Here is a 27,068-nt window from a genome sequence, read left to right on the forward strand (position 1 = left end):
ACAATAAACTATTTCAAGTATTGTCTCTGCTTAATAGCTATGAGTATTGACTTAGCTGCCTAAAGATACACAGTTCATACTAGAGTCAGGATTAGACACAGGTGATCTGACCTCTGAGCCATCATTCTCTTAAGCCCCATCAGTCATCAGAGAGATAGTGTGTATAATCTTAAGTTATTTATCTAGAAGTACTCATTTGAATGTGTTCTTTTTAACCAAGGGTCAAGAGAAGCCTGAAGGGAGACATCCCTGTTTATGGTAAGTTCTACCACAGCTAGAAATAAGAGTTCTTGGAATAGATTCTGTAAATTTCTTATACCCTTTGAACTAATGATGATAGATCTAGTTTTCTTCTGTATTTTCTTTTTTCTGCCAATAGCACTGAGGAAAAAAAGAATTGAGTAGAAGAAACAATCAGAAAGGTAGATATGATGGAAAGGAGGTTTATTTTTAAGTTTGTATTAACTCAAATTAACCTTAGCTCCTCCTGAAATTTTTCAACTATTCTTTAGAAATAAGTTCAAGCATCTGGAGGTTTCTTGATTCTAATCTGTGCTTTCTTATCAATACATAACTAATGTCCATCAAATGCCAATACGCCTGGAGAAGTAAGCTCTAAGAAATGAATTTAATTTTCAGTGAAGTGCCACTTATTTGGCATTTTAGTTATGAATCTGCCTGCTTTGTTCTGCACCATAACTGGGTTTTGTCCAACCACTTTTAATTACGAGGTTATGCCTGGGTCCTTGTTTCCTTTGATATAAACTTTTCAGACCCAAGCTCTGGGTCTCATTTTTTCTGAGCTATGGCTTCAATACTAGGAATCCCTGAGGCCTGATGTTGGTTGGACACTGACTCCAATTATTTTCTGTGCAAATTACTTGACCCTTCAGCTTTGATTCTCCCTTTCACAAACTGAGGATATAATCACTCTTCTCTTATCTCCCAAGGCTCCTAAGGGAAACATTAAAGAGTTCTGAATATGAAAAACACTATATACCTGTGAAGGAGTGTTATGAGCTCATCATTTTCCATCCAATTTCCAGATAATATCAGGTGCAACAGTCCCCAGGGAAGCTAGTTAAGACACAGCAATCCTTGGCCAAGTCTGTGGTCTCCCTTGCTGCTTCTGAGGTGCCCTGCAACAGACAGTAAGCAGCAACCCATTCCCTGCTACAGAATTTTTTTTCATGGCTGTTTGCAAGTGAGATCCTAGCAGAATTGCTGAGCACTTGTTAAACTTTTCCCTTCACTTAATCTACTTGAAAAGAACCTTGCTGCATACATTTGTACACATCACCGCCCCAGAGGAGCTCTGTGAAAGTGCACTCCTGTTCCTCTGGACTGCTTGGAGAAGAGAAAAGTAAGTAGTTTTCAGTGCAGTCTGAGAGTTCAGCTGGAGAACAGATATTTTTAGGATTAAAGTAAACTGGTGTTATAATTAAAGTGCTTAAGACACTCTCAAACTGAACATCATTTTTGCTCTCCTTGCTGTAGATAAGGATATCATCAGACTCTACACGTCCTCTCCTAATGCAGTTGGCCTAATCAATTCAAGGCAAAGTGACAGCAAAGCATTTTATGGACCTTTTTCTTTCTATCTGTTTTCCAGGAGAGAGAGGCTGAGTATGGACAAGTGAACATTTATTTATTTTCCTAGGTTCTGAATCCCATTCCACAGCAGTTGGCTTGGATACCTCTAAGTAGCTCCTGTTCCTCTGACTTTGCCTTCATTTACTCCCCTTATTCCTGAAACCTCTTTTTGTCATTTTCAGGGGTGAAAACTTCAGGAGTGCTTCTTTTAAGTTGCTGAATGGAAGGGATTATGCCATTGACTCATCGGGCCCTTGGAATAAGAGAGGACCTTAGTTTACAGAGGAGAGAATTGAGGCCCAGAGCTATTCAGTAACGTATTACAAGTCACAAATCCGATTTGAAACAGATCTGGCACCAGAGCCTGGGTCTCTGACTTCCATTCTGGGGTTCTATCCATTACATGCCCAGTAATAATCCCTGCACCTTGGACCCATATGGGACACAACCCACAGGCTTTACCTTTAGGGATGTGAAGGCCAAGGCTTTCCTTCACCTTCTGCTTTTGTGCAAGTACAAATCAGGAGCATTTCTGTATTTTCCCTTTGGCTGTGGGTGGTCCTGGTGTCTCTTGAGAAAGATGGAAGAGGCTAGCCTGAGGTTTCTTAGCAAAATATTAAGTCAGAATTTTTCACTTTCCATTGTAACCCTCATTTTCCATGCTGGGGCAGCCCAGAGGTAGAACAGGGTCATCATAACAGTTATAAAACCAGTATCTTTCTGACTCTAGCCGATCCACTTTTGGGAATTCCAGCCCCTTCAAATACTTCCCAGGTTGTTTCACGGGTTCTCAGAAGTTGTTTCCCAAAAGCTCTGAGCACTAATTTTTATAATTTACAGTCTTTAAGTCTCAATGATTATTGTAATCTCCTGCGAGCTATCTAAAAATCAGATTTTACAATACTACCCCAAGAAAACTTGAATTGGCAGGTGTGGGATTTGGCCTAGAAATATGTATGTCTGTAACTTCTCACATTGATTTCAGTATTAGACAGGTCTGTGAACCCCTGTTCTATTTCCACAGGTTATTCTTTCAACACAATATTTAGAGCCCACTATAACCTCAGCACTATCCTAGGCCCTGGACATAAGCAATGAAGAAGGAATGTTCTGACATCTTGGAGCTTTCACAGCTCAAGGACAACACATGAATAAATAGTTAAACATGTAGTAAGTCAGCCAGTGACAGATATGATGGAGAAAAGCAAAGTAAAAGTGAGGGTGGGAGCAGTGCTGCTGTTTTATGCAAGGAAGACCTTTTCTATCATCTGACATTTGGGTAGATGCTAAGGAAAATGGTGGAACAAAGCCATGTGAATATTTTGTAGAAGGATGTTCCAAACAGACAGCAGCTAGTTCAAAGAGCCTTGAGTTGAATTAGCCTGCTGTGTTTCAGAATGAGCAAGGAGCCAATATGCCTGGAGAGGACAGTATGAGCCAGAGAGGAAAGCAATAATGTCCAAATGGAGCAGGGGTTCTGGCGTGCAGGACGTAGGTGAGTGTGCAGAGTAGAGCCTTAGAACATGATTAGGGAGCCACTGGAGGATTTTAACCATGGAGAAACAAGGTCTGATCTTGTTTTGTATGTATCACTCTGGCTTGTGGTCTTGAAAGTCAAATTTAAGATGGCAAAGTTAGAAGCTGGTAGACTAGTAAGGAAGCTAATGCAGTCCAGGGAAGACAGTTTTGTAACCAAGTGGTAGCAGTGGCCATGATGTGGATACTGATATATTTTGAACATAAAGACTATGGTAATTTAGCTGGGTGGGGTGGCTCACACCTGTAATCCCTGTTCTTTGGGAGGCTGAGGTGGGAGGATTGCTTGAGGATGGAAATTCAAGACCAACTTGAGTAGCACTGTGAGACCCCATCTCTACAAATAAGTTTTTTTAAAAAAGTCAGCCTGGTGCAGTGGTGTGCACCTGGAGTCCCAACTACTTGGGAGGCTGAGGCAGGAGGATGGCTTGAGTCCAGGAGGTTGAGGCTGCAGCGAGATATGATCATGCCACTGTACTCCAAACTGGGTGACAGGGTGAGATCTTGTCTTAAAAAAAAAAAAGGCAATGAGATTTGCTACTGTATTGAATATGGGGTGGGATGAGAAGAGGAATAAAGGGCAACTATGAGATTTTTGGTCTAGACAAGTCAAAGAATGAAGTTGCAACTTTAAAGAATGAAAGGAGTATGAAAAGAAGAGATTTGAAAAGAAGAAGAATCTGATTTGCATGTGTTAATTTTGAAATACCTATTAGATATCCGGATGGAAACGTCCAATAGCTGTCTGGCTATCCAAATTGGGAGATCCAGGAAAAAGTCCAGACTGGATGTACAAATTTGGGAATCATTGGCAATATGGCAAGGTAGAGGCCATATTGTGTAATGAGTTTTGATAAAGAAAAAAAGGTCTAAAGACTAAAGTCCTCTTGCACTCTAATGTTTAGAGGTTGGAGACAGGGGAAGGGCTGATGCAGAAGAGTGAGAAGGGGTGGCTAGATAGAGTCAATAATTTTCTTCCTCTCCAGTTCCGCCTTACTGAGACAATGTGTCCTGTGACTGCTAATCCCCACAACTGTGACTCACTGCCAAAATCTCAAAGGCACCAGTAATGCCACAGCTGCCTCTAAGGCAGGAAGCACTAGGACACTGCCAAGGCCGGTGCTGCTGCCACTGTTCTCACCAGTTCTGTGAGAGCACCAAAGCAATCCATCCTTCAGCTCTTTGATGCCCAGCAGGCATGAAAATAATCTCTTTTTTAGGTTTCAATATGTAACTTATTGGAGAATTCTTAAAAGATTTAGGTAGGTATCTGGAAGCCAGTCAGAGTAAATGATATATTCTAGTCCATGAAATGAATACATATATTTCAAGTATAATTTGGTTCTGAATCCTAGCATAAACACAGCTTAGATTCAAGCAGAGATACTAGTTACATTGAAAAAAAACATGAAACTATAAAGCAATTATTTTTTAACATTAGGAGGGAGTTCTTGCAATCATGGAAGAATCTGAGCTATAGCATCCCAGAAGTTTGGTTTCAGATCCCATCCTAGCGAGAGAGAGAAAGCTCACAGAGGGAGACAGCATAGTTTTCATTCTCTTCCCGGTTACTCTTGACAAGAGTAGGGGAAGCCTCTGTTACGTGCTATTTAAGGTGTTGGAAAGAAGGAAGCAATTTATTAATAGTTCAACAATGCCTATTCCATTACTGTAATTTATTACTGAAATATATGCTATAGTAATGTGCAGCCCACACACATATGACTTGTTAAAGAGTGGCTGCTTCTCCAGTTTTGCTCATTCTGAGTACCCATCTTGATTTTAATAGTCCAGCAGGGCCCAGGTGCAGAATCTCTAATTTACAAAACCTGAGAATTTCCTGCAGAGGACTAAGGAATGACTGAGCCCTCATTCTATAATAAGAACAATACTTTTTGTACTTAAGTTTGTAGAAACAATATTATATACACAGGATTCTTACATCCTACTCCAGATAGTCGCAAAGTAGCAAGTAATAAAAGTTCATTGGCATGATATGGGACAGTTTGGTTGTTGGTGTGGCTGGATCCTCTTATATTTGCCCCTCGCAGTCCCCATATTAAAGGCTCTTGACCCAGTAAGGTTTGTTTCTGGTTTTAGAGTTCTTCTTATTAATTCCCAGCAAGTCTAAAGCTTTTTATGGTAACCCCAGGAGGGGCATGTTGCTGCAATTCTACCTACACAACTTGAATACTTTTTGTTTGAAGTCTTTCTAGTGGCCATGTTTTCTCAGGTATCAGCTTTTTGTTGGGTTCTTTGGAAACTTCGAGGAAAGAAGGGATTACACTATCTGTCACTCTGATAAGAAGGTTTTCCCACTTGAAATAAGAATTAAACATGGCTGGGTATGGTGGTTTATGCCTGTAATCCCAGCATTTTGAGAGATCAAGGCAGGAGGAGTGCTTGAAGTCAGGAGTTTGAGACTAGCCTGGGCAACGTAGCATACCCCATCTCTACAAAAAAAAAAAAAAGGTTTTAATTAGGCATGGTGGCATGTGCCTGTGGTCCTAGCTACTTGGGAGGTTAAGGAAGGAGGCTCCCTTGAGCCAAGGCTGTAGTGAGCCATGGTTGTGCCACTCCAGCTTGGATGATAGTGTGAGACCCTGTCTCAAAGCTATTTCATGGGTCAGAGTATTAAGTATCTCTGAGGCAATAATAGTGCTTGATATTTCTATTTAATCATTCCATTTTTAATATCACAATGGCTTATATTATGACTGTTGCTGGCCAGAAATGGCAGATGGGTTGGGAAAAACTGACAATAGAGCCTATTCAAATAGCATGCTCTTGTTCTGCATTGGCATGGACAAACATTCATTTTTCCCTCTCCCTTTAGTATTTCATGTATTGATGAATAGCAGCACAATGGTCCACCTAGTGATTGCAGCCAGACTCCCATGCCTCTCTCCTGACCTCATTTTTTACATCACACTGGGATCAAATAGTCCTAATATCTCTTTAATTCACTCTCTCCTATCTCTGGCCAAAAATGCCCTACTTCAGACTTTTATTGTTTCCTACTTGAATGATTTCAGCAGTCTCCTATCGGTCCTCTCTATGTCCAGTCTCATCCTGTGAAATCCATGCTAAGTGTTTCCACAAGAGAGCTCTTCAACCAAAAAAAAAAAAAAAATCCTTCGTCTACTTCAAAACTTTCTAAGGTCACCTCAAAATACAACAAGATGCCTCTAATTGTGGGCTTTGGACCTTCTACATCAGAATTACTGTTAAAGATGTACATTGCAGAATTTTGAATTTGCATTTAAAACATGCTTCCCACGTGATTAATATGCACTCAGATCAGTTAAGAAAAACTTTAGACAAATTAAATTTAACAGAGTTTAATTGAGCAAAGAATGATTCACAGTTTGGACAGCCACCAAACCAGAATAGGTTCAGAGCGATTCCATCAGGGCCACGTGGTAGAAGAAGATTTCTGAACAGAAAAACAGAAAGTGATGTACGAAAGATGGAAGTGAGTTTCAGAAACAGCTGGATTGGTTACAGCTTGGCCTTTGCCTTATTTGAACATGGTTTGAACAGTAGACTATCTTTGGCTGAAAATCAGTGATTGACACAAGAGTAGATTATAGGCTGTTTACACATCCAGGTAGGTTACAGTTCCTTATGCAGGGAGAAACCTTTAGGCCACACTTAAAAGGAGGCAGCTTTAGGCTAAACTTAATTTAACACAGTAATGGGCTTGAGGCCCAAGCTGGGCCAAGTAGAATTCTCCTTGAATCATTCCTCTCATTTCAGGAGAAAAATGAAGGAAAGAAAATAAAGATAGGATGCAGAACAATGCTGAAAGAAGCAGTAAAGAGAAGGCAAGAAAGAGAAAGACCCTGAAAGCATTGAAACCCTGGTTTCAGGCACCCATGAGTCTAGCAGTGCCTCTTATGCTCTCTCTAGAAAATGGTGTGTAGGGCTAACATCAGCAGGTTGCTTAACCTCTTAAATCCTTAGTGGCTTATAAAATCTGGTATGAACTGGCCCTCCATAGATCCTCAATTGACCTCATTTTGTGTAACCTACCTTCATGCTTACTATCCTGCAGCATATTAGACTCCTCTCAGCTCTGTAAAATCACCAAACTGGTGCCCACTTAAGGGTCTTTATACCAACCATTCCTGCTCTCTCACATGCTTCTCTCTCCACTGCCCCCTGGGACTTTCCTGGATGGCTTTTTATTTTTTTCTACTTAGAGCTAGGGTTACTTCTACAGAGGCCACCTGACCACTCAAAAATAACCACCCCATAATTATGTGTCACATCACCTTTTAAAATGTATTGCATACCATTTATAAAAATCTGATGATATTTATTAATTTATTGGTTAGTTTGTGTCTTATTTTCCCCACTTGACTGAGCTCCATGAAAACAGCTCCTGGCACAGGATAAACACTCAGTGGATACTTATTGAATGACAGAAAAATAATCACCACCACCACCACCACCACCAATATTTACTTGGGTTTATTATGTGCCAGACACTGTTATAGGCATCTTATTGGTTAACAAATTAAATCATTGCAATGGGCCTATATGAGATTAATACTTTTATTATCTCCATTTGACAGATGACGAATCTATGGTACAGGAAAGTTGAAACACTCAAAGAACAATGATTCCAGCAAAATAGGCACTTTTGTGTATTCCATGTGTTGATCAAGAAATAAGAAGATATGCAAATAAACAAGAGGAGGAAAGAGAGCTGGGGCATGCCTACTGCTCTGAATATTCAAAAAACAGGGATGAGGTGTAGTAAAAAGAAGCAAAGAGGAGAAAAGATGGAAATAGAGGCTGTATTGGTTTTCTAGGGGTGCCATAATAAAATACCACAGGTTGGGTGGCTTAAACAATTGAAATGCATATTCTCACAGTTCTAGAGGCTGGAAGTCCAGGTCTGGTTTCTTCAGAGGTTTCTCTCCTTGGCTTGCAGATGTCCTCCTTCTTGCTGGGTCCTCACATGGTTGTTCCTCAGTCTGTATTGACTGTGTCTTAATCTTGTCTTCTTATAAGGACACCAGTCATATTGGATTAGGGCCCAAACATAGGACCTCCTGTTACCTTAATTACATCTTTAAAGATCCTATCTCCAAATACAGTCAAATTTATTTAGAGTTACTAGTGACTTCAACATATGAATTTTTTGGGGGACACAGTTCAATTCAACACATAACAGAGAGGAAATAAGTAATGTGTAAAACTGAGTGGAAGTAAGTGAAATTAAGGGGATCAGGAAAGTTGTGGTGTAAAGCAGAAGGTATAGAAGAAATTATTGCATAGTTGGTATAGAAGAAATTATTGCGTAGTTAAATGGAAAACAAAGGTGAAAAATAGAATCCAGCAAGGAAAGAAAATAAATCAATGTACTCACTGAGAAAAAGAAGACACATATGAATATTTGTACAATGACAAAGATAGTGTAACTGCCCAGTGGGTTTACCTAGCCCACTACCTAGACAGAATTGCAATACAGAAAGAGTAATTCACTCAGAGCTGGCTGTGCAGGAGACAGGAGTTTTATTATTACTCAAATCAGTCTCCCCAAGCATTCAGGGATCAGAGTTTTTAAGGACAACTTGGTGAGTAGGGAGAAGCCAGTGAGCCAGGAGTACTGATTAGTTAGGTAGGAGATAAAATCATGGGAAGTTGAAGCTGTCCTCTTGCCCTGAGTCAGTTCCTGGGTGGAGGCCACAAGATCAGAAGAGCCAGTTTAGATGATCTGGGTGGTGCAAGCTGATCCATCAAGGAAAGGGATCTCAAGCACTGATCTCAGAAGCAGTTTAGGGAGAGTCAGAATCTAGTAGCCTCTAGCTGCATGACTCCTAAACCATAATTTCTAACTTGTGGCTAATTTGTTAGTCCTACAAAGGCAGTCTAGTCCCCAGGCAAGAAGGAGGTTTGTTTTAGAAACAGGCTGTTATTGTCTTTGTTTTAAACTATAAACTAAGTTCCTCCCAAAGTTAGTTCAGCCTACACCCAGGAAGGAACAAGGACAGCTTGGAGGTTAGAAGCAAGATGGAGCTAATTAGGTTAGATCTCTTTCACTGTCTCAGTCATAATTTTGTAAAGGTGGTTTCAATAGAATACATAAAAGATTAACACAGGAAAAAAGAGACAGAAGAGGGACAATGCCATAAAAATGAACAGAGAAAAGGGGAAGAATTAAAAAAAATAGAAAACCAGCTTTACAACACATAGGATGTATGCTGTATTTCATTTTTGTTTTGTTTTGGAAAATGTCCTATCATTTTGTAAGGTTGAATACTGAAGTGCATGATTTCTATGACTAAAGACTTCACTGACTTGAAATATTATAAGAAGGCGATGCTGATATTGGAAATATCATGGAGATAGAGTCAGGAATACTTTCCTATATGACAGTACTGATCTTTGTCATAAGAGAAAGTGTATCGGCCGCATTTTATAAAGCTTTGGGGGGCTTTAAAAAGCAAAGAAATTGAGATTGTGTTAGCTGGAATCCGGCAGCAGGTTTAACAGGAGATACTGTTCTGCTACAGCTCTCACCAAGGGAGTTCAATTTCAACAGTGCTAATCTTTCCATTGTGGCGGAAGTTTAAATTTTGTGCCCCTAAGGAAAAATTTCCAAAGTAATTCCCATTGAACTTGCCTCCCAGAAATCCCTGCTTCATACACTATCCAGGTACCACCTGTGCCTCTCCAGGGCAATGGTAACTTTCTCTCCACATGGTAAAACATACTCATTTGACATTTCAGATGCCAAATTCTTTTTTCCAGTGTGGTTAAATAAAGTTTCTATTGTTCCATAAAACTTCTGGCATGAAATTTTAACTCTAATTTTTTTTCATTTTAATGTAATTTTGTGCACTTTATTCTTGGTTTCTGGTATTGCAAATTGATATAAAGCTTTTAAATATAGCTCTACATTGTTTTATTATTTTAGCTATTGTAGGAAAGTTTAACTTTCCCTCTGAAGATTCAATAATTTGGGTCTATAAACAAACTGACAATATAGACAGATTAACAGGAGAAAAGGCATCCAAATTGATATATGTGCAAATGCATGGGCAGTACACAAAATATGAGACTCAAGGAAGGGCCAGATGGCTGAAGCTTAAATAGCACCTTCTTCATAGGAGAAAAGTGGTGAAATATAGGCAATTTTGAGAGGTAGTAAAAGATTTTTCATAGAATTGAATGGGCCCAAAGAGCAGACAGTAGCTTGTGAATGATTGTCTTTGGAAACTGAGTGGTACTGGAGAACAGTCAACGGCCTAGGACAAATTTCCCCTGAGATCTGGACGGAGGTGTTGACAACGGAAGAAGGTGAGGGCTGGAAGTTTACGGTGAACAAAGGTTGTCTTATGCAGATAAAGTCTCCCTAGAAATCTCTCAGGGCTACCCTCAGAAGAACAGATGAAAAGTCTGTCTGGGCATGATGGAGACTTTTAGTCTTTTCTCTTCTCTGGTGGTTAATCTTTCATGGTCATCTGATGAGATTCCTAGGGAGAGAGTTTCAATTGCATTTTTTTTGGGAAGAACTTCCCTCAGTCAAATAAGGGAACTTCCAGAGAAAGCCCCTCCTGTGCCTGAGTGGTAGGAGAGAAACAAGAGAAAGCTAGAAAGTCATTGGTTCAGAGGCAGCTTCTAAGGCCTTTTAATTTCTTTTAGTTCAAAGTGCTCAGCATGCCAAAATGCTATAGGTTGGGGTATCAGTTCTGAGCCCCAACATTATATTGAAACACATCAATGTAAGTATGTTTCTTTTCTGACTATGCATATAAAAAGTGTAATAACTAAACAGTCTTCTTGAATAATAGAATAATAATTCACTATATAATTCTTTTATTATATTCAAAAGTGAGGCCAGGTCTGTTTTAGTTCTAACATAAGCTAGAATTTATCATGTTATGTATTTATTGCATTTATTAATAACTGAGGGTCTCTGGGTCATATGGATCACTTGGGGTGCACAAGGAAATTTCAGGAATCCACTCCATATATAGTAAACAAAATATCAGGAATTGGTCCAATGAAACTACATTGAAACAAACTTTCCAGATGATTCTAATATTTACTAAATTTAGGGAACTACTGGGAAATACTTTAAATGCAAGAAATAAAATTGAGTCCAAATAAATCACCCTGCTGAGATATCACTTTATTACAAGTTTTTATACATGTACATTTCATATATAAAACAAATTATTTTTGCCTTCTTAAAATTTTCTATTTTATTAAATTTATTATACTTTAAGTTCTGGGATACATGTGCAGAATGTGCAGGTTTGTTACATAGGTATACATGTGCCATGGTGGTTTGCTGCACCCATCAACACGTCATCTAGGTTTTAAGCCCTGCAAGCATTAGATATTTGTCCTAATGCTCTCCCTCCCCTTGCCTCCTACCCCCCAACAGGCCCTGGTGTGTGATGTTCCCCTCCCTGTGTTCACGTGTTCTCACTGTTCAACTCCCACTTATGAGTGAGAACATGTGGTGTTTGGTTTTCTGTTCCTGTGTTAGTTTGCTGAGAATGATGGTTTCCAGCTTCATCCATGTCCTTGCAAAGGACATGAGCTCATTCTTTTTTATGGCTGCATAGTATTCTTTGGTGTATATGTGCCACATTTTCTTTATCCAGTCTATCATTGATGGACATATGGGTTGGTTCCAAGTCTTTGTTATTGTGAATAGTGCTGCAATAAACATATGCGTGCATGTGTCTTTATAGTAGAATGATTTATAATTCTTTGTGTATATGCCCAGTAATGGGATTGCTGGGTCAAATGGTATTTCTAGTTCTAGAGCCTTGAGGAATCGCCACACTGTCTTCCACAGTGTGGAAGATCAGTTTGGTTGAACTAATTTATACTCCTACCAACAGTGTAAAAGTGTTTCTATTTCTCCACATCCTCCCCAGCATCTGTCGTTTCCTGACTTTTTATCGATCTCAATTCTAACTGGAGTGAGATAATATCTCACAATGGTTTTGATTTGCATTTCTCTAATGATCAGTGATGATGAGTTTTTTTTCATATGTTTGTTGTATATGTTTGTTGGCCACATAAATGTCTTCTTTTGAGAAGTGTCTGTTCATATTTTTTGCCCACTTTTTGATGGGGTTGTTCACTTTTTTTCTTGTAAATTTGTTTAAGTTCCATGTAGATTCTGGGTATTAGCCCTTTGTGAGATAGATTACAAAAATTTTCTCACATTCTGTAGGTTGCCTGTTCACTCTGATGATAGTTTCTTTTGCTGTTCAGAAGCTCTTTAGTTTAATTAGATCCCATTTGTCAATTATGGCTTTTGTTGCAATTGTTTTTGGTGTTTTAGTCATGAAGTCTTTGCCCACACCTATGTTCTGAATGGTATTGCCTAGGCTTTCTTCTAGGGTTTTTATGGTTTTAGGTTCTATGTTTAAGTCTTTAATCCATCTTGAGTTAATTTTTTTATAAGGTGTAAGGAAGGGGTACAGTTTCAGTTTTCTGCATATGGCTAGTCAGTTTTCCCAGCACCGTTTATTAAATAGGGAATCCTTTCCCCATTGCTTGTTTTGTTGAAGATCAGATGGTTGTAGATGTGTGGTGTTATTTCTGAGGCCTCTGTTCTGTTCCATTGGTCTATATATCTGTCTTGGTACCAACACCATGCTGTTTTGGTTACTGTAACCTTGTAGTATAGTTTGAAGTCAGGTAGCATGATGCCTCCAGGTTTGTTCTTTTTACTTAGGATTGTCTTGGCTATATGGGCTCTTTTTTTTGGTTCCATATGAAATTTTAAGTAGTTTTTTCTAGTTCTGAGAAGAAAGTCATTGGTAGCTTAATGGGAATAGCATTGAATCTATAAATTACTTTGGACAATATGGCCATTTTCATGATATTGATTCTTTCTACCCATGAGCATGGAATGTTTTTCCGTTTGTTTGTGTTCTCTCTTATTTCCTTGAGCAGTGGTTTGTAGTTCTCCTTGAAGAAGAGGTCCTTCATGTCCCTTGTAAGTTGTATTCCTAGGTATTTTATTTTCTTTGTAGCAATTAAAATTTTCTTTAAACAATTTTCAACTTTACATTTCTCCATTTTTCACAAGAATATTTGAAAACTCTGATTTTATTTTCTTTAGTTTTGTTTGGCTTTAGAGACTTTACTGTAACAAGGTGATGCCAATTTAATGAACTCAAAGTACGTTGCACATATAAACAACAGCAGAACAAACGTTTCATGCTTGACTGGGATTGTAACTGAAAGAGTTTTGTTTGAACAGTGCAGCTTGGTATATCAGATGGGAGGACTCAGGTCTCCTGAATCAAGGAAAACTTGCTCTGTTAGGCATGGCCACCAAAGTCCATATAAATTCTTTTTTCTCCCTTCAAAATTTGATGATGTTGAGGAAATAGAATTAAAAACACAATCTTCTCTCAATCCAGAAATTTTCTCCACGAAGATAGCAGAAACAAAAACCACCCCACTTTTGCTTTTGAATTAGCATTAAACCATGATGTGATGTTAATCACAATCAGCTGAAAGACTGCAAAATCTCACCCCTCTATATGCCAACCAGTTACGACCCATTGCATACATGCTTTCAATATAAACAATAACTAGTCCATGAGTAAAAAGATTTAACAGCACTATTTGTCTTACATAATTCATCCTCAAATCAACCATTACCAGGATGACTGTCTGTGTTAATTGACTTTACCCAGAGAAAAAAACAAACTTCTCCCATATTTGTGGCAGGATGTAATTTTGTGACTTGCAGCAAGGTGCCCACTGAAGTTAGGTTCCTAATCTCTCAGAGAAACTTGGAGATAGGGGTGCTATACCCCTTGATGTTTACATTTCAAAGAGATGGCTCCTGAATCCTTGAGAAAGGCAATCCTGACTCTTAAAGCTGACAAAAGGCCTATCTGGTTTTCAAAAGGATTTACATACATTTCAAAGAGAAGAGAAGGTACTTATAATTACAAGTTTTCAAATGCAAATGCTCAAAGAGAAAGGGAGAGAGGAGCTCTTTCCTCATTTTCAACAGGCCGAATTAAGCACCTTACTTTTAATTTGCGTTTGTCCTTACAACTACCACTCTTAAATGTGAATTCCTAATTAAGAACCATGAAGCTGACTCATTTCATCAGATAAAGGCTTTTGGTTTTCTCTGCTGTTACGTCAATAAGTTTAAAATATCCAAATTTTCACCCTTATTTTCCCTGCGACCAAGGGTCTACATTTACAGGACAGCTGGGTGGGTTTATCAACAGTCATCAGTTTGTAGTGATAAGCCTGGTACCCAAGGGAACAATAAAATGTGTAAACTTGCCTCCTAATTATATCATATCACCAGCTGAGGCACAGAAACTTGTATTACAGATGTTCAATTAGTTCTTGACTTCCAGTCACTGATTTTGGACTCTAACCTGGACTAAGAAATTTTCATTTTAAGAATGTATGTTCAGTCCTGAGATAGTTACAGGTGTTTGCTGGGAGATTTTGTTCAGAAAGGGGCACTCACAGGGTCGCATTTGATTTGAAGGGTGCTCATCAGGACACACCTGAGGCCATCTGGACCCTCAGTCGTGGTTATGCTCTAAGTGTTTGCCTTCTAGAGAAACAGTTACTTGTACAAGTGTTATTTTCAGAACATTCCTTTGACTTTCTGCATAAATAGGCATCACATCACTTTCTCACTCCACTCCAATTTCTATCTTCTTGAAAAATGAGCAACGTGAACTGGTTGGGGCCAGAGGGGAACGCTCCTGATTCAGCAAGTGGCAGTGGGATACTGAGTGGCCTTGTATGACTCAATATGTTTACTCTTAAAGGGTTGGCTCCCAAGGAGTTGCACAGATAGTTCTTGGGCTTCAGTCAAAGAAAAGAATAACACAGCTGCCCTCAGCAAGGGGGAATTCCAGCATAATGGATTGGCAATGGAAACAGTTTAAACCAATATAAATATAATAGCCACCCACTGAGAGGCAATTTACACACACCAGACCAGCCTTGAAGTGCTGTACTTGGCCAGTGTAATCTACTCAGGGTTATTTTATGAGACTTGATATAAGGAAAATGGGTGAAGAGAAAATGAAAAGTAAGGGAAAGTCGACCAGTCCAAATGACATGCTAAAGCCCCAAACTCCTGCTTCAGGGGCATTGCTGCTTTGTATGACACAGAAAGAATGGTATCTGTCTAGCTCCTTAAGAAGTAATATGTTTTTAAGTGCTAATCTGGCCTGATTTCAGTTCTAATTATGCTGGTAACTGGTGAAATGGCTCTGGACGTTTTACTTCCCTACTCTACTTGATAAAAATAAGGGGTTGTGTTAGAAAGCCAGTCCAAAAAAAGTGCCTGGAACTTGGGCTCTGGAACTCTGGGCGCCATTGCGAGCACCTTTCAAGATGGCTGTGTGAACTTGGGCAAGTTTCTTATCCTCTGTAAGCCTTACTTTCCTCATCTGTACAATGGGGACAATAGTACTACTTTCTTAATACCCTTCTTATAAATATTAAAGGAGATATTCATATGAAAGCACTTTCAACACGTCAAGCCCATGATGAGTACTTACTGAAGGTTAATCATCCTTATAATCAGGAACCTTTATAGTCTCTTCCTGCTTCTAATGTCTAAGATTTTTATAATGCTTTGTCATTTCTATATCATCAACTTTTAACGCCTAAGGGAAATTCTCTTTGAGAAATAGTTATATTTTCTGGCTTCATATTTCTAAAAATAAGATTTATTTGTATGCCTTTAATTCTAAACCTTAAGCATTGTTTCAGAAAAGCTTCTCTTTCCCATGATAAATTCCATCAAATTTGCAGAAATGAAGGGATCTCTACCTCTGTTTATGTTTCAGAGGCTTCCTGAGCGGTAGTCATGTTAAGCCTAGCAGTGAGGGCATACGTTTCTAAAAGTTAGATGATGTTCACCAGAGTGGATCTTTGCATGGATCTTGTAAGATAAAGTTCATGGCCAACATGCCTATAACAAGAGACACATTAACAAGAGAAAAGCATAACAAATTTAGTCAAAGTTTTACATGACATGTAAAGCCTTCAGAAATGAAGATCCAGAGACTTAGGGAAAACTACTTTTTTTTTTTTTTTTTTTTTGCTTAGGTTGAATGAAACATGGATAGCCATGTAGAAATGTGATTGGACAAGAGTATGATCCAATGGTAATAGACTGAGTGGGAAGGAAAACCATTCTAAAAGGCCTTTTGCTCAGATTCTTTTTGCCTCTCCACTGTAACATTTCTTCCTCCAGGAAATATGGGAGGATCTCTCTGGAATGGGAGTTTTTATAATCTACTATCAGACAAGCATAGGTCAGTGAATTTCTTTATGGCAAGCTCCTAGATAGACTGGAGAAGGTTAAAGTAATATTTCTAGGTTTTGTTTTCTAGTTACTATTGTAATCACCTGATGAGTCCCTCTTGCTCATTGTCCAGAAAACCCAATTCACCGAAAGCAGCAGGTTTTCGCAACAGAGAAAAAATATAATAGTCCCAGGGCTGGCCAAGTGACCAGGCAGGAGTTTATTACTATACAAAGGAGTCTCCCCGCAAATTTGGACTATGGATATTTTTAAGGATAATCTGGCAGGCAGGGGCTATGTAATAAGGAATGCTGATTGGCTAGGTTGGGGATGAAATCATAGGGGGTTGAAGCTGTCTTCTTTTTGTCTTCATTTATCGGGTAGGATCACAAAACCAGCTGGTCCAGTTTGCTGGTCTAGGTGGCACCAGCTGGGCTATCAGAAGGCAAGTTCTGATAATTATGTTGAACAGCAATCATAGGTTTTACAGGAGTGATGTTATCTATAGGAGCAATTGAGGAGGTTAGGAATCTTGTGGCCTCTGACTACATGACTCCTGAGCCATAAGTCTAACCTCATGGCTAATTTGTTAGTTTTCCAAGGGTGATTTGATCCCTGAGCAAGTAACAGATTAGTTTCAGGAAGAGGCTGTCATTATCTTCGTATGTATGTATGTATGCATGTATGTATTTGAGACAGGTACTTGCTTTGTTTCCCAGGCTGGAGTGCAGTGGCACAAACACAGCTCATTGCAGCCTCAACCACCTGGGCTCAAGTGATCTTCCTGCCTTAGCTTCCTGACTAGCTGGGACCACAGGCACATACCCCCATGCCCAGTTAATTTTTTATTTTTTTCTTTGTAGAGATGGGGTCTCATCATTTTACCCAGGCTGGTTTGAACTCTTTGGCTTGAGCAATCCTTCTGCTTTGGCTTCCCAAAGTTCTGGGATTACAGATGTAAGCCATGACACCAGCCTATCTTTGTTTTAAAGTTAAACTAAATTTCTCTCTTAGTCAGCCTGGTCTATGCCCAGGAGTGAACAAGGACAGCTTAGAGGTTAGAAGCAAGATGGAGTCAGGTCAGATTTCTTTCACTGTCATAATTTTTCTGTCAGAATTTTTTCCCCGTCATAATTCTTGCCAAGGCAGTTTCACTATTACCTGCCTCGGGGATAAGGAATTCTGATTTCTATGACTTGCTTCAAAGAAGATTGAGGGGTGAGAGACAGGAAGCCACTAGAAGGTCAGAGAGACCATGCCAGCGTTCTGGGGCTGTTTCTGAGGTTTTCCAATTTCCTTTACTTCCAAGTATTCAACATGCCAAAGCACTATATTTTGGGGGTATCTTTTTCTGAGCTCCAACAATCTACATTAAGTATTGTGTCCGGAATTGGTGGGCTCTTGGTCTCGCTGACTTTAAGAATGAAGCCACGGACTCTCATGGTGAGCGTTAGAGTTCTTAAAGATGGCGTGTCCAGAGTTTGTTCCTTCAGATGTTCAGATGTGTCTGGAGTTTCTTCCTTCTGGTGGGTTTGTGGTCTCGCAGACTTCAGGAGTGAAGCTGCAAACCTTTGCAGTGAGTGTTACAGCTCATAAAAGTGGTGCAGACCCAAAGAGTGAGCAGCAGCAAGATTTATTGCTAAGAGCAAAAAAACAAAGCTCCCACAACACAGAAGGGAACCCCACCGGGTTGATGCTGCTGGTTTGGGTGGCCTGTTTTTATTCCCTTATCTGGCCCCACCCACATCCTACTGATTGGTCCATTCTACAGAGAGCTGATTGGTCCATTTTACAGAGAGCTGATTGGTCCATTTTACAGAGAGCTGATTGGTGCGTTTTGACAGAGTGCTGACTGGTGCGTTTGCAATCCTTTAGCTAGATACAGACTGCTGATTGGTGCGTTTACAATCCTTTAGCTAGACACAAAAGTTCTCCAAGTCCCCACCAGATTACCTAAACACAGAGCACTGATTGGTGTGTTTACAAACCTTTGGCTAGACACAGAGTGCTGATTAGTGCCTTTACAAACCTCTAGCTAGACACAGAGTGCTGATTGGTGCGTTTACAGTACTTTAGCTAGACAGAAAATTTCTCCAAGTCGCCACCTGACCCAGAAGCCCACCTAGCTTCACCTCTCAATGGCACTTGTGGTGGGACTTTGCAGCACCTAGCCCAGGCACTCCAGCAGCCCCCAGGGAGCTTGTCCCTGATCAAGCCCAGCAGGTGCCTGCTGGCGGCACATAGTGTGGGGCCCGCAGAGCTGGCGCCCACCCGGAACCAGCACTGCTGGCAAGCGCCACGCGCAGCCTGGCTCCTGCCCACGCCTCTCCCTCCACACCTCCCAGCCAGCAGAGAGAGCCAGCTCTGGCCTTGGCCAGCCCCAGAGAGGGGCCCCCACAGTGCAGGGGTGGGCTGAAGGGCTCCTTGAGCAGCCAGAGCTGACCGGAGGCAGAGGAGGCGCTGAGAGCTAGCGAGGGCTGCTAGCACGTTGTCACCTCTCAGTATGAGGTATAAAAGAAATATATTTCATTAAATTTAATAATTACTTTACCTAACTTAGTAGTTGGGAATGACTGAAGATAAATGAATACAATGTATTTTTATAAGTCTTATTAATATCATAGTGGATAAGGAAAAAAATGAGAAGGTGGATGCTGGATACTTGGTCTTCTCATAGATCTAGGAGGTGTATGTACATGTTTCATATTGCGCTTCCAAGAATGAAATGAGATAGAGGCACATTACTGTCTCTAGTAGTACACGCAATAAAACTGAAGAATATCCATATTTTTAAAAGATGTAAGATCCCCATAGATTCAAGTAGCTCACCTTTTCTAAGTGTTATTTTTAATATTCATGATAAAACTCATATTACTCAGCATATTATTAATAATAAATTTCTAGAGCACATATTCTAATGTTTCTTAACACATATTTTCGCTTTGCTAAACAAAGTGATGTTAGGTTATGTTTCAGGCAGCTTAATCCCTTAAAAAGCAAATTTTAAGGGTGGTGTTAGCCTTTTGGTAGCCAGAGCATACATAAATAATATTATTTCATTTACCCGTGTTAACCAAAAACCTTTATGGAGCTTTATGAATATCTCAAACATAGCATTTTTGGTGTCTTTTTTGGAAAGAGTAACCAATTAATTAAAAAATGCTTTCTCCATGCCATTTATCCTTTCTCTTTGCATGGAAGTTATGTGAAACTAGGAAGGAAATGTAATGTCTGCTTTATACAACCTTTACTGACATAAATTAATTTTCAGTTAATGAGAACTTGCAACTAAACAGTGTTCTTTATTCTTCAAGTGGTAGTAACTATTATTAAGGGGCAACACCTCATTCCTCTGTAGTTAATGTGTCTGGTATTTCTGGAGATAAGAAGAAAACATTGAAGATGCCCCAAGGCCACATACTTCTCAAGGAGATATTTTATTTAAAAATTGTAAGATTTAAGTTCCTCTATGTATGAGTGGGTATGTGTTGTGTGTGTTCATTTCGTGGCTGTTTGTGAGAAGCATTTCCTTGTAAAGCTCTGTTAAGCAATTTGAAGCATTAGGCAATCAGTTCACCTTTTGACCACCAAGAATATGGGAAGCCCAGTGAAGTTACTCGTTTATAAATCATAGTCATTCATATGTCTAGGAGAGACACGGACCCAGTTTTCACTCTAGTACTGTGACAGCTAGAAGGACTGTTTTCTGAAAACACATGTAGGGTATGAGGCAGGGGCAGAGAGGGGAGTTATGTAGCCTGAAAATTAGAGCTATTTGTCCTTCTTTAAAGATAGTACGTGGTAGCAGTAAAAACATCTCCTATAAGGAGCTTTTGCTTCCTTTAACTTTACAATCTGAAGTTCTTTATCCTGTTTAATTTGGGTATATTATGTTAAAATGCGTATGGGACATAATTGAACAGTAAAGTACTTTCAAGTGACCTAGCTGACAAGATCATACATTTGCTAAATATTTGTAATATTTTAGGCACCTGATGAACTAAAATACAGGCTTTGTTACAAAAGAAATAAAGAAGTAGGCGAGGCCGGGTGTGGTGGCTCACGCCTGTAATCCCAGCACTTTGGGAGGCTGAGGTGGGCGGATCATGAGGTCAGGAGATCTAGACCATCCTGGCTAACATGTTGAAACCCCGCGTCTACTAAAAATACAAAAAATTAGCTAGGTGTGGTGGCGGGCGCCTGTAGTCCCAGCAACTTGGGAGGCTGAGGCAGGAGAATGGCATGAACCCGGGAGGCGGAGCTTGCAGTGAGCCGAGATTGTGCCACTGCACTCCAGCCTGGGCGACAGAGCAAGACTCCGTCTCAAAAAACAAACAAACAAACAAACAAACAAAAAAACACAGAAGTAGGCGAATTATTATTAACTATAATATTGCTATCACAAATTTGTAAGGAGGATTAGCAGAGTTATCTGTTTTTTAGCTTATACAGATAAATTTCAGCATAACATTTTACATCTGGTTTTCTCTTTATTCACTAAATTCTATGCTCTCTTACTCACTAAAAGAAATGTTTGTTTAGGTTAACAATCTGTAAAGCAGTTCTAGCCCTGTATCAATCCATTATGAAAATCTAGGTCAGGATACTATTAATGCATTTTTACCTAGAATTCTCTTCTAGACATTCGGAGGCAAGTATAATCTTTGTATTAAGGCAGAGTGATCTGGGCTACAGAAATGAAGAGGTTAAAAGTGGTCCAGATGTGACATGACTACACTATTTACCATCACCGTCATCTTGATAACTGACAAATGATTGACAGCAACACTTGACAATGACATGATTTCCCTAATGTGTTGATAAGAGCTGAAAGGGGTAATTTTGAATAGAAAAGACTTTGTGGGTTTCTAATACCTGCATACCAGAACTGAGCAGAAAATCACATTCAACTTTTATTGAAAGAAAATTCACAAAATACTGGAGTAAGGAACCATTAACTTTTGGGACATGTTTTAAATTATCTTTATTTTTATACCCTGAATATTTTATAATCCATTTTTAAATACTAAAAAATTATTTTTAATCCTAAAAATAATGAACATCAAAATGTAAGATGATCAGACATTTTTAAAAAGGAGCCAGAAGATTAATGGGCCTTTGGTATAAGCCAGTTACTACAGCTGGGCACTTAAAATGGCTCTAAGTTTCCAAGCAAGAAACGCAAAAAGATAAACACATTGGTTTACACAATTTTTTCTTCTCTGACAAAATAAAATAAATACGTTTATCTGTAGAAGCAAACTTACTTTCTGGGACCAAATTTCAGACAAAATTTATCACGTGGTTCCTTGATTAAGAGGTACTGAATAACATAACGATGTCTGCAAGAAACAAAGATACTGCTAAAATGGACAGCTCTGGTATTGATTCACTTTACTGGCTGAGAACATAACATTAAATTGTGCTCAGTGAAGCCCTTTCTGCAGGGGATAAGAGGAAATGGCCGAGGTATTCCACTTTCTGATGATTAAAGTTGATAGTGGGCTAGAGCCTGGAGACTAGGAGTAGGGATAGTTAACATGCCCATTACACTACCTCCAACATCATATGTCTTACAAGAGCCTTTGGTCTGTGTTAGGAGGCAGTTAACTCATGACTGAATTCTCACAGTTTCCTGCAGTGCAGATAGTCTATGTTGTTTGCTAAACTGAAAAACTTACAGTTAAGAAGGAGAAGTGGTTACTGAAATGAGAAAGTTTAAGAGAGAAACTTATATTCTTGCTCAGACAGAAGGTCAACTCAATTCATCTTCAGTTGTGGGAACAGGGTTACCTAAAAGTAGTGCCAGTCTTTTTCACAAAGAGGAGCGTTTTATCTTGTAAAGCATTTCACAAAGTATTTGGTTGAATCTTCGTGTTGAGTGCTGCATTTCAGAGATGAGATGACTTCAGAATGAAATGTGTTTATGGCAAGTGTTATCAAATACTCTCTAGTTCATAGTGATGGGGGAGTCTGTGGGTGGTCCTTGTAGGATGTCTGTATTTAAGTAAATTATTCACATAAATGATACAGAATATGAGACCAATTTCAGATTTATACAAAGATGCTGAGCATTGAAGTATACGGACAAAAAGACAGTATCTCTGGAGTCAGAGAAACTGAGTCTTGGTGGTACATCCACTTAGTTCTTTACTGTGTACAATTTTGCCTCCTAAACCTCAGCTTCCTTTTATGAAAAATACATACCAAAGGCCAGGCTCAGTGGCTCATGCCTATAATCCCAGCACTTTGGGAGGCCAAGGTGGGCGGATTGCCTGAGGTCAGGAGTTCAAGTCCAGCCTGGCTAACAGGATGAAATCCCATCTCTACTGAAAGAAAAAAAAAAAATTAGCCGGGCGTGATGGTGGGTGCCTGTAATCCCAGCTACCAGGAGGCTGAGGCAGGAGAATGTCTTGAACCAAGAAGGCGGAGGTTGCAGTGATCCAAGATTGTGCCGCTGCACCTCAGCCTGGGTGACAGAGTGAGACTCAGTCTCAAAAAGAAAAAAAAAAGAAAAATACATACCAAGTTGATTTAAAGTTTGAAATGAAGAAACATGTATAGAGATTGCCCATATTCAACAATTAGTCTTTCACACATCCCATATCTCATTTGGCAAGTACCTGTTAATTACTTCTAAATACCAAGGCAATAAGGCTGAGAAAATAAAACATATCAGCATAGCTGGTTATTCAGCTTGCATTCAGCATAGTCATTTCCCTCCCACCCTACTCCTTCAAAACACTAGTTGTATATTGGAAAGACTCATACAAATGTATTATTTTTTATCTTTTGTTCATGTACTAAAATAGCAGAATAAATCAGTATTTCTCAAAGTGTGGATGCTAGATTAACTAACTCAGAATTTCTGAGGGTATTTGTCACGTACTGTGTACCCAAGTCAGACCTATTGATTTAAAATCTCTGGGTATCAGGAATCTGCATCTTTAAACAAGTGCCATAGTTAACTCATAGGTACAGTAGAGCTTGAGAATATCTATAGTAAGTTATGAAATGTCTTAATCTCAATCCCAGGGAGTAAAACCCTACTATACTGGGCAACATTTTTACTAATCCTAATCCCTTCTCTGCCTTTATCATAACAACACATGTTCCATAATATGCAGTGGGGAATATTACTCAGCAGACAGAAAGATTATGCCTGCAGATGTCATACTTGAGTTCATTGTAGAGTATTATATTTCCCAAATGTTGCTCACCAATATATCCCATTCCATAGGTTTTTTTTACAATGTGATGTTGACATTCCTCCACCAAAAGATGGAGTCTACGTGCCTGCCCCTCAAATCTAAATGGGGCCAGTTACTATAGCAAAAATGATGTTATATGACTTCTGAGGCTAAGTCAAAAAAGGCATTATTGTTTCCACCTCTTCTTCTTGGAATTCCTACCCTTAGAATCCAGCCACCATGCAGCAAGGAAGCCACATAGCATTTGGGAAGGCCAGATATAGTGCTTTTTCCAACGTCCCAGGCAAGGTGCTAGTTGACCGGCCATGTAAGTGAATGAGACTTCATTTGTTTCCAGCCCCCAGACTTGAAGCCACCCCAGCTGATATAATTAAACCAGAGATTTATGAGGAAAGTAAATTTCATATTTGTGAGTAAATTAAGTGCTGTCATTGTTTTAAACCACTACTAAGATTTTGGGTTGTTACGTATCAATAGATGAAAAGAATACCCAAATTGTCGGTGATTACTTATGTTTTTTTTTTTGTTGTTGTTGTTTTTTGAGATGGAGTCTTACTCTGTCACCCGGGCTGGAGTGCAGTGGTGCAATCTAGGTGCAGGCTCTGCCTCCCAGGTTATCTGCCTCAGCCACCCTAGTAGCTTAAATTACAGGCACCCACCACCACACCCAGCTAATTTTTGTATTTTTAGTAGAGACAGGGTTTCACCATGTTGGCCAGGCTGGTCTCGAACTCCTGGCCTCAAATGATCTGCCTGCCTTGGCCTCCCGAAGTGCTGGGATTACAGGCGTGAGCCACCACACATGGCCTGTGTAGGTAATTATTTTTGAATCCCAACTGGTGATGTTATCTTCTTCTTGTGGGCATCTGACATATTCTTATCTGTATTCCATTTATTCAGTCAATATGGGCCATTTCCACTGGGAGTTCTGGAAGCCTGGATTCAACTCTTCTCCTATCCTGCATCAATGAATTGGACAAATGACAGGTTACATGGCTCTTCTATAGTAAATATGGGAAGTTGATTGACTATAGACTCCATTTAAAAGGAAACCAACTGTTTAAAACAAAAGAGAGCATGGGATTGAATATCACTAGTCAAAGATTAGAGAAGGATGTTACAGAGTTGAAAAATGCAACATATAAATGAATGAGAGAGAAAAGCAAGATAAATTGCTATCCACGATTTGCCTAAGTACAGCTGAAACCAGTTGCATTTGAGTGGATCTGTTTTAAAGCTTCTCTAACTAAAACATTATTCTAAGGCCTGAGAAAACCATAGCTAAGTCTGACAGTCTTTCCCCTTTAGGACCTCACTTTGCTGGTGGAGGAGATATATGGGCAGACAAATATCTCTAAGAGAGTTTATCATAATGGAGGTCATAATATAGAAATGATAATATGGGGTAGAAGGATTCATGCCAACAAGATAGATCAGTATCACAAGGTTGGGATAAAGTTTGACAAGATAATATCTTGTGGTGAGGGAAGGATATGTCATTGAAAGTATATCATTCCAACTTGAGAAACAGAGGAAAGGCCAGAGGATGCAGCTCACACCTGAGGAACATTTATTGTCATTATGACCTGGGATGGGTTGACTGCTTATTAGAAGATACAGTTGTAGGAAGAGGTCAAGGTCTTTACTGGTCTGAACACATAGGCTTTGTTTTCAATGAGGAAATTACAGGGTTTAGAAAGTAGGGAAAAAATGAAATTTGTTTTAATGATGATAACCAAGGTAGTCATGCAAAGTATGCATCAGATAGTGGTGGCAAGAAAAAGTCTATTAAGAAACAATTGCATTACTGAAGCCAATATGAGCCCAAAGCAGGGTAGTGGCCAGCAGAAGAATATGAAGAGTTAAATAGATGCAAAAGATGTTAAGGAGGTGGGTCTGATGGGCTCTGATGATTAATGGCCAGTCTGGGTTCAGTCTGTGGGCAAAGAGAAAATGGAAGAATGATGATGACGCTGTTAACAGAAAAGAGCTGTTGATTGAGTATCCGTGTGTGCGTGTGAGTGAACGGGCTGTATGAGTATCTCCCCACTGGCTTAGAGCTGCTTCAGGGCAACCTTCTTCAGTGTCTACTATTTTATCATATAACGTGCTCAGTAAATGATTTCCGATATTAATTTAAATGATGGAGAAGACAAAGGAAGAGTAAATGCCACTAATATTTATAAAAAGACAAAGATGTACTGGAAGATTTATGTGGTAGGAGCTTTACACATGCATGAAATTTAATCTTTCAACAATGTTATGAAGTAAAAATGATTATTCCTATTTTACAGGTGATAAAACTAAGGTGCAAGCTGGCTGTATGCACTAATGTCTGGAAATGGCATCCCTGTATATCTGACTATGCAGATTATGTCTTTTCTCATCTAGCATTAAGATCTTCTAACAAAATGATCTGTCTCTGCTCATTTTCCAAAATTCCCTGCAGGCCCACACATGCACACATTGAATGTTAAAGATTAAGAGTAACTTGATTTAGATCATCACTATTTCTCTAATCATTAAGTTACCTATTGTGTTGCTTTTTGGTGGGTGGCACTGGTGCAGAGAGAGCATTTTATAGATTACAAATCGCTTCTATGTGCCTTTGATTTTCAACCAATCCAATAAAAGATTTCACTCTCTCTGAGGATTGATGCACAGTGGAGGGTATATCAAATATTGCAACGTATAGTAACCTAATATTTGAGAAAGTCAGAGATGCTCCAGGAGAATATGTGTACAAAACAAGCTACCTAATAAATTAAATGCACTCTTCTACAACAGAGGGGCCATAATTGCATTTGCTTGACTTTGTACAAGTACAAAAAAAAGTATATTATTTTTAAATACCCCCAGAAAAAATAAAATACCAAAAGCATTTGTTTAGGGGGTGTTTAGGATTATAAATACCTTTGTTCTGCAAAAAAAGAAATTATACCTCAACATAGGCTAGGTATATATTTTGTGGACAGGCAACTGGAATATATGGTTAGAAGGAAGTAGAGAAAACAAAACAAATAAAACTGAAGTGGGCCACCAAAGTATAGTGCTGCTCATTTCAGAAGATCATACTGTAAATGTTCTTTCCAAAGACATTTAAATGATTTTTTTACATATAGATTTTGTATAAAATAGTGCATATTTCTGAAATGCCTCTGTGTCTCAGACTAGTGGAAAATATTATCTTTTTGGTTTTCTCCAATCAGAGAAGTTACAGGGAGCATTACAGACTGTTTACTTATTTAGTGAAAGCTGTAAGTGTGCCTGGTATTGTGTAGGCTTCAGCATATTTGAAATACACGTAGAATCTCAAATATGTTGCATCCTCTGAACACAGTCAGACAATCTATGTGCTGGGAAATGAAGCACAACAATGTAATATTTCCTTCTAATATCAGTCTTTCAATTCCCCTATTGAATCTCTAACA

General features: G+C 39.2%; 4 annotated features.

The window, feature by feature from the left end:
- Positions 13,385 to 13,977: an enhancer, noted in NCBI's record as "OCT4-NANOG hESC enhancer chr6:92007857-92008449 (GRCh37/hg19 assembly coordinates)". NCBI's record gives its function as "activates a minimal SCP1, AML or CMV promoter by ChIP-STARR-seq in naive and primed H9 embryonic stem cells {active_cell/tissue: H9 hESC(naive and primed)}" and the evidence as "EXISTENCE:reporter gene assay evidence [ECO:0000049][PMID:30033119]".
- Positions 13,978 to 14,569: an enhancer, noted in NCBI's record as "OCT4-NANOG hESC enhancer chr6:92008450-92009041 (GRCh37/hg19 assembly coordinates)". NCBI's record gives its function as "activates a minimal SCP1, AML or CMV promoter by ChIP-STARR-seq in naive and primed H9 embryonic stem cells {active_cell/tissue: H9 hESC(naive and primed)}" and the evidence as "EXISTENCE:reporter gene assay evidence [ECO:0000049][PMID:30033119]".
- Positions 14,570 to 15,162: an enhancer, noted in NCBI's record as "OCT4-NANOG hESC enhancer chr6:92009042-92009634 (GRCh37/hg19 assembly coordinates)". NCBI's record gives its function as "activates a minimal SCP1, AML or CMV promoter by ChIP-STARR-seq in naive and primed H9 embryonic stem cells {active_cell/tissue: H9 hESC(naive and primed)}" and the evidence as "EXISTENCE:reporter gene assay evidence [ECO:0000049][PMID:30033119]".
- Positions 15,163 to 15,753: an enhancer, noted in NCBI's record as "OCT4-NANOG hESC enhancer chr6:92009635-92010225 (GRCh37/hg19 assembly coordinates)". NCBI's record gives its function as "activates a minimal SCP1, AML or CMV promoter by ChIP-STARR-seq in naive and primed H9 embryonic stem cells {active_cell/tissue: H9 hESC(naive and primed)}" and the evidence as "EXISTENCE:reporter gene assay evidence [ECO:0000049][PMID:30033119]".

Source organism: Homo sapiens, chromosome 6 (assembly GCF_000001405.40).
Source record: "Homo sapiens chromosome 6, GRCh38.p14 Primary Assembly".
Lineage (NCBI taxonomy): Eukaryota > Metazoa > Chordata > Mammalia > Primates > Hominidae > Homo > Homo sapiens.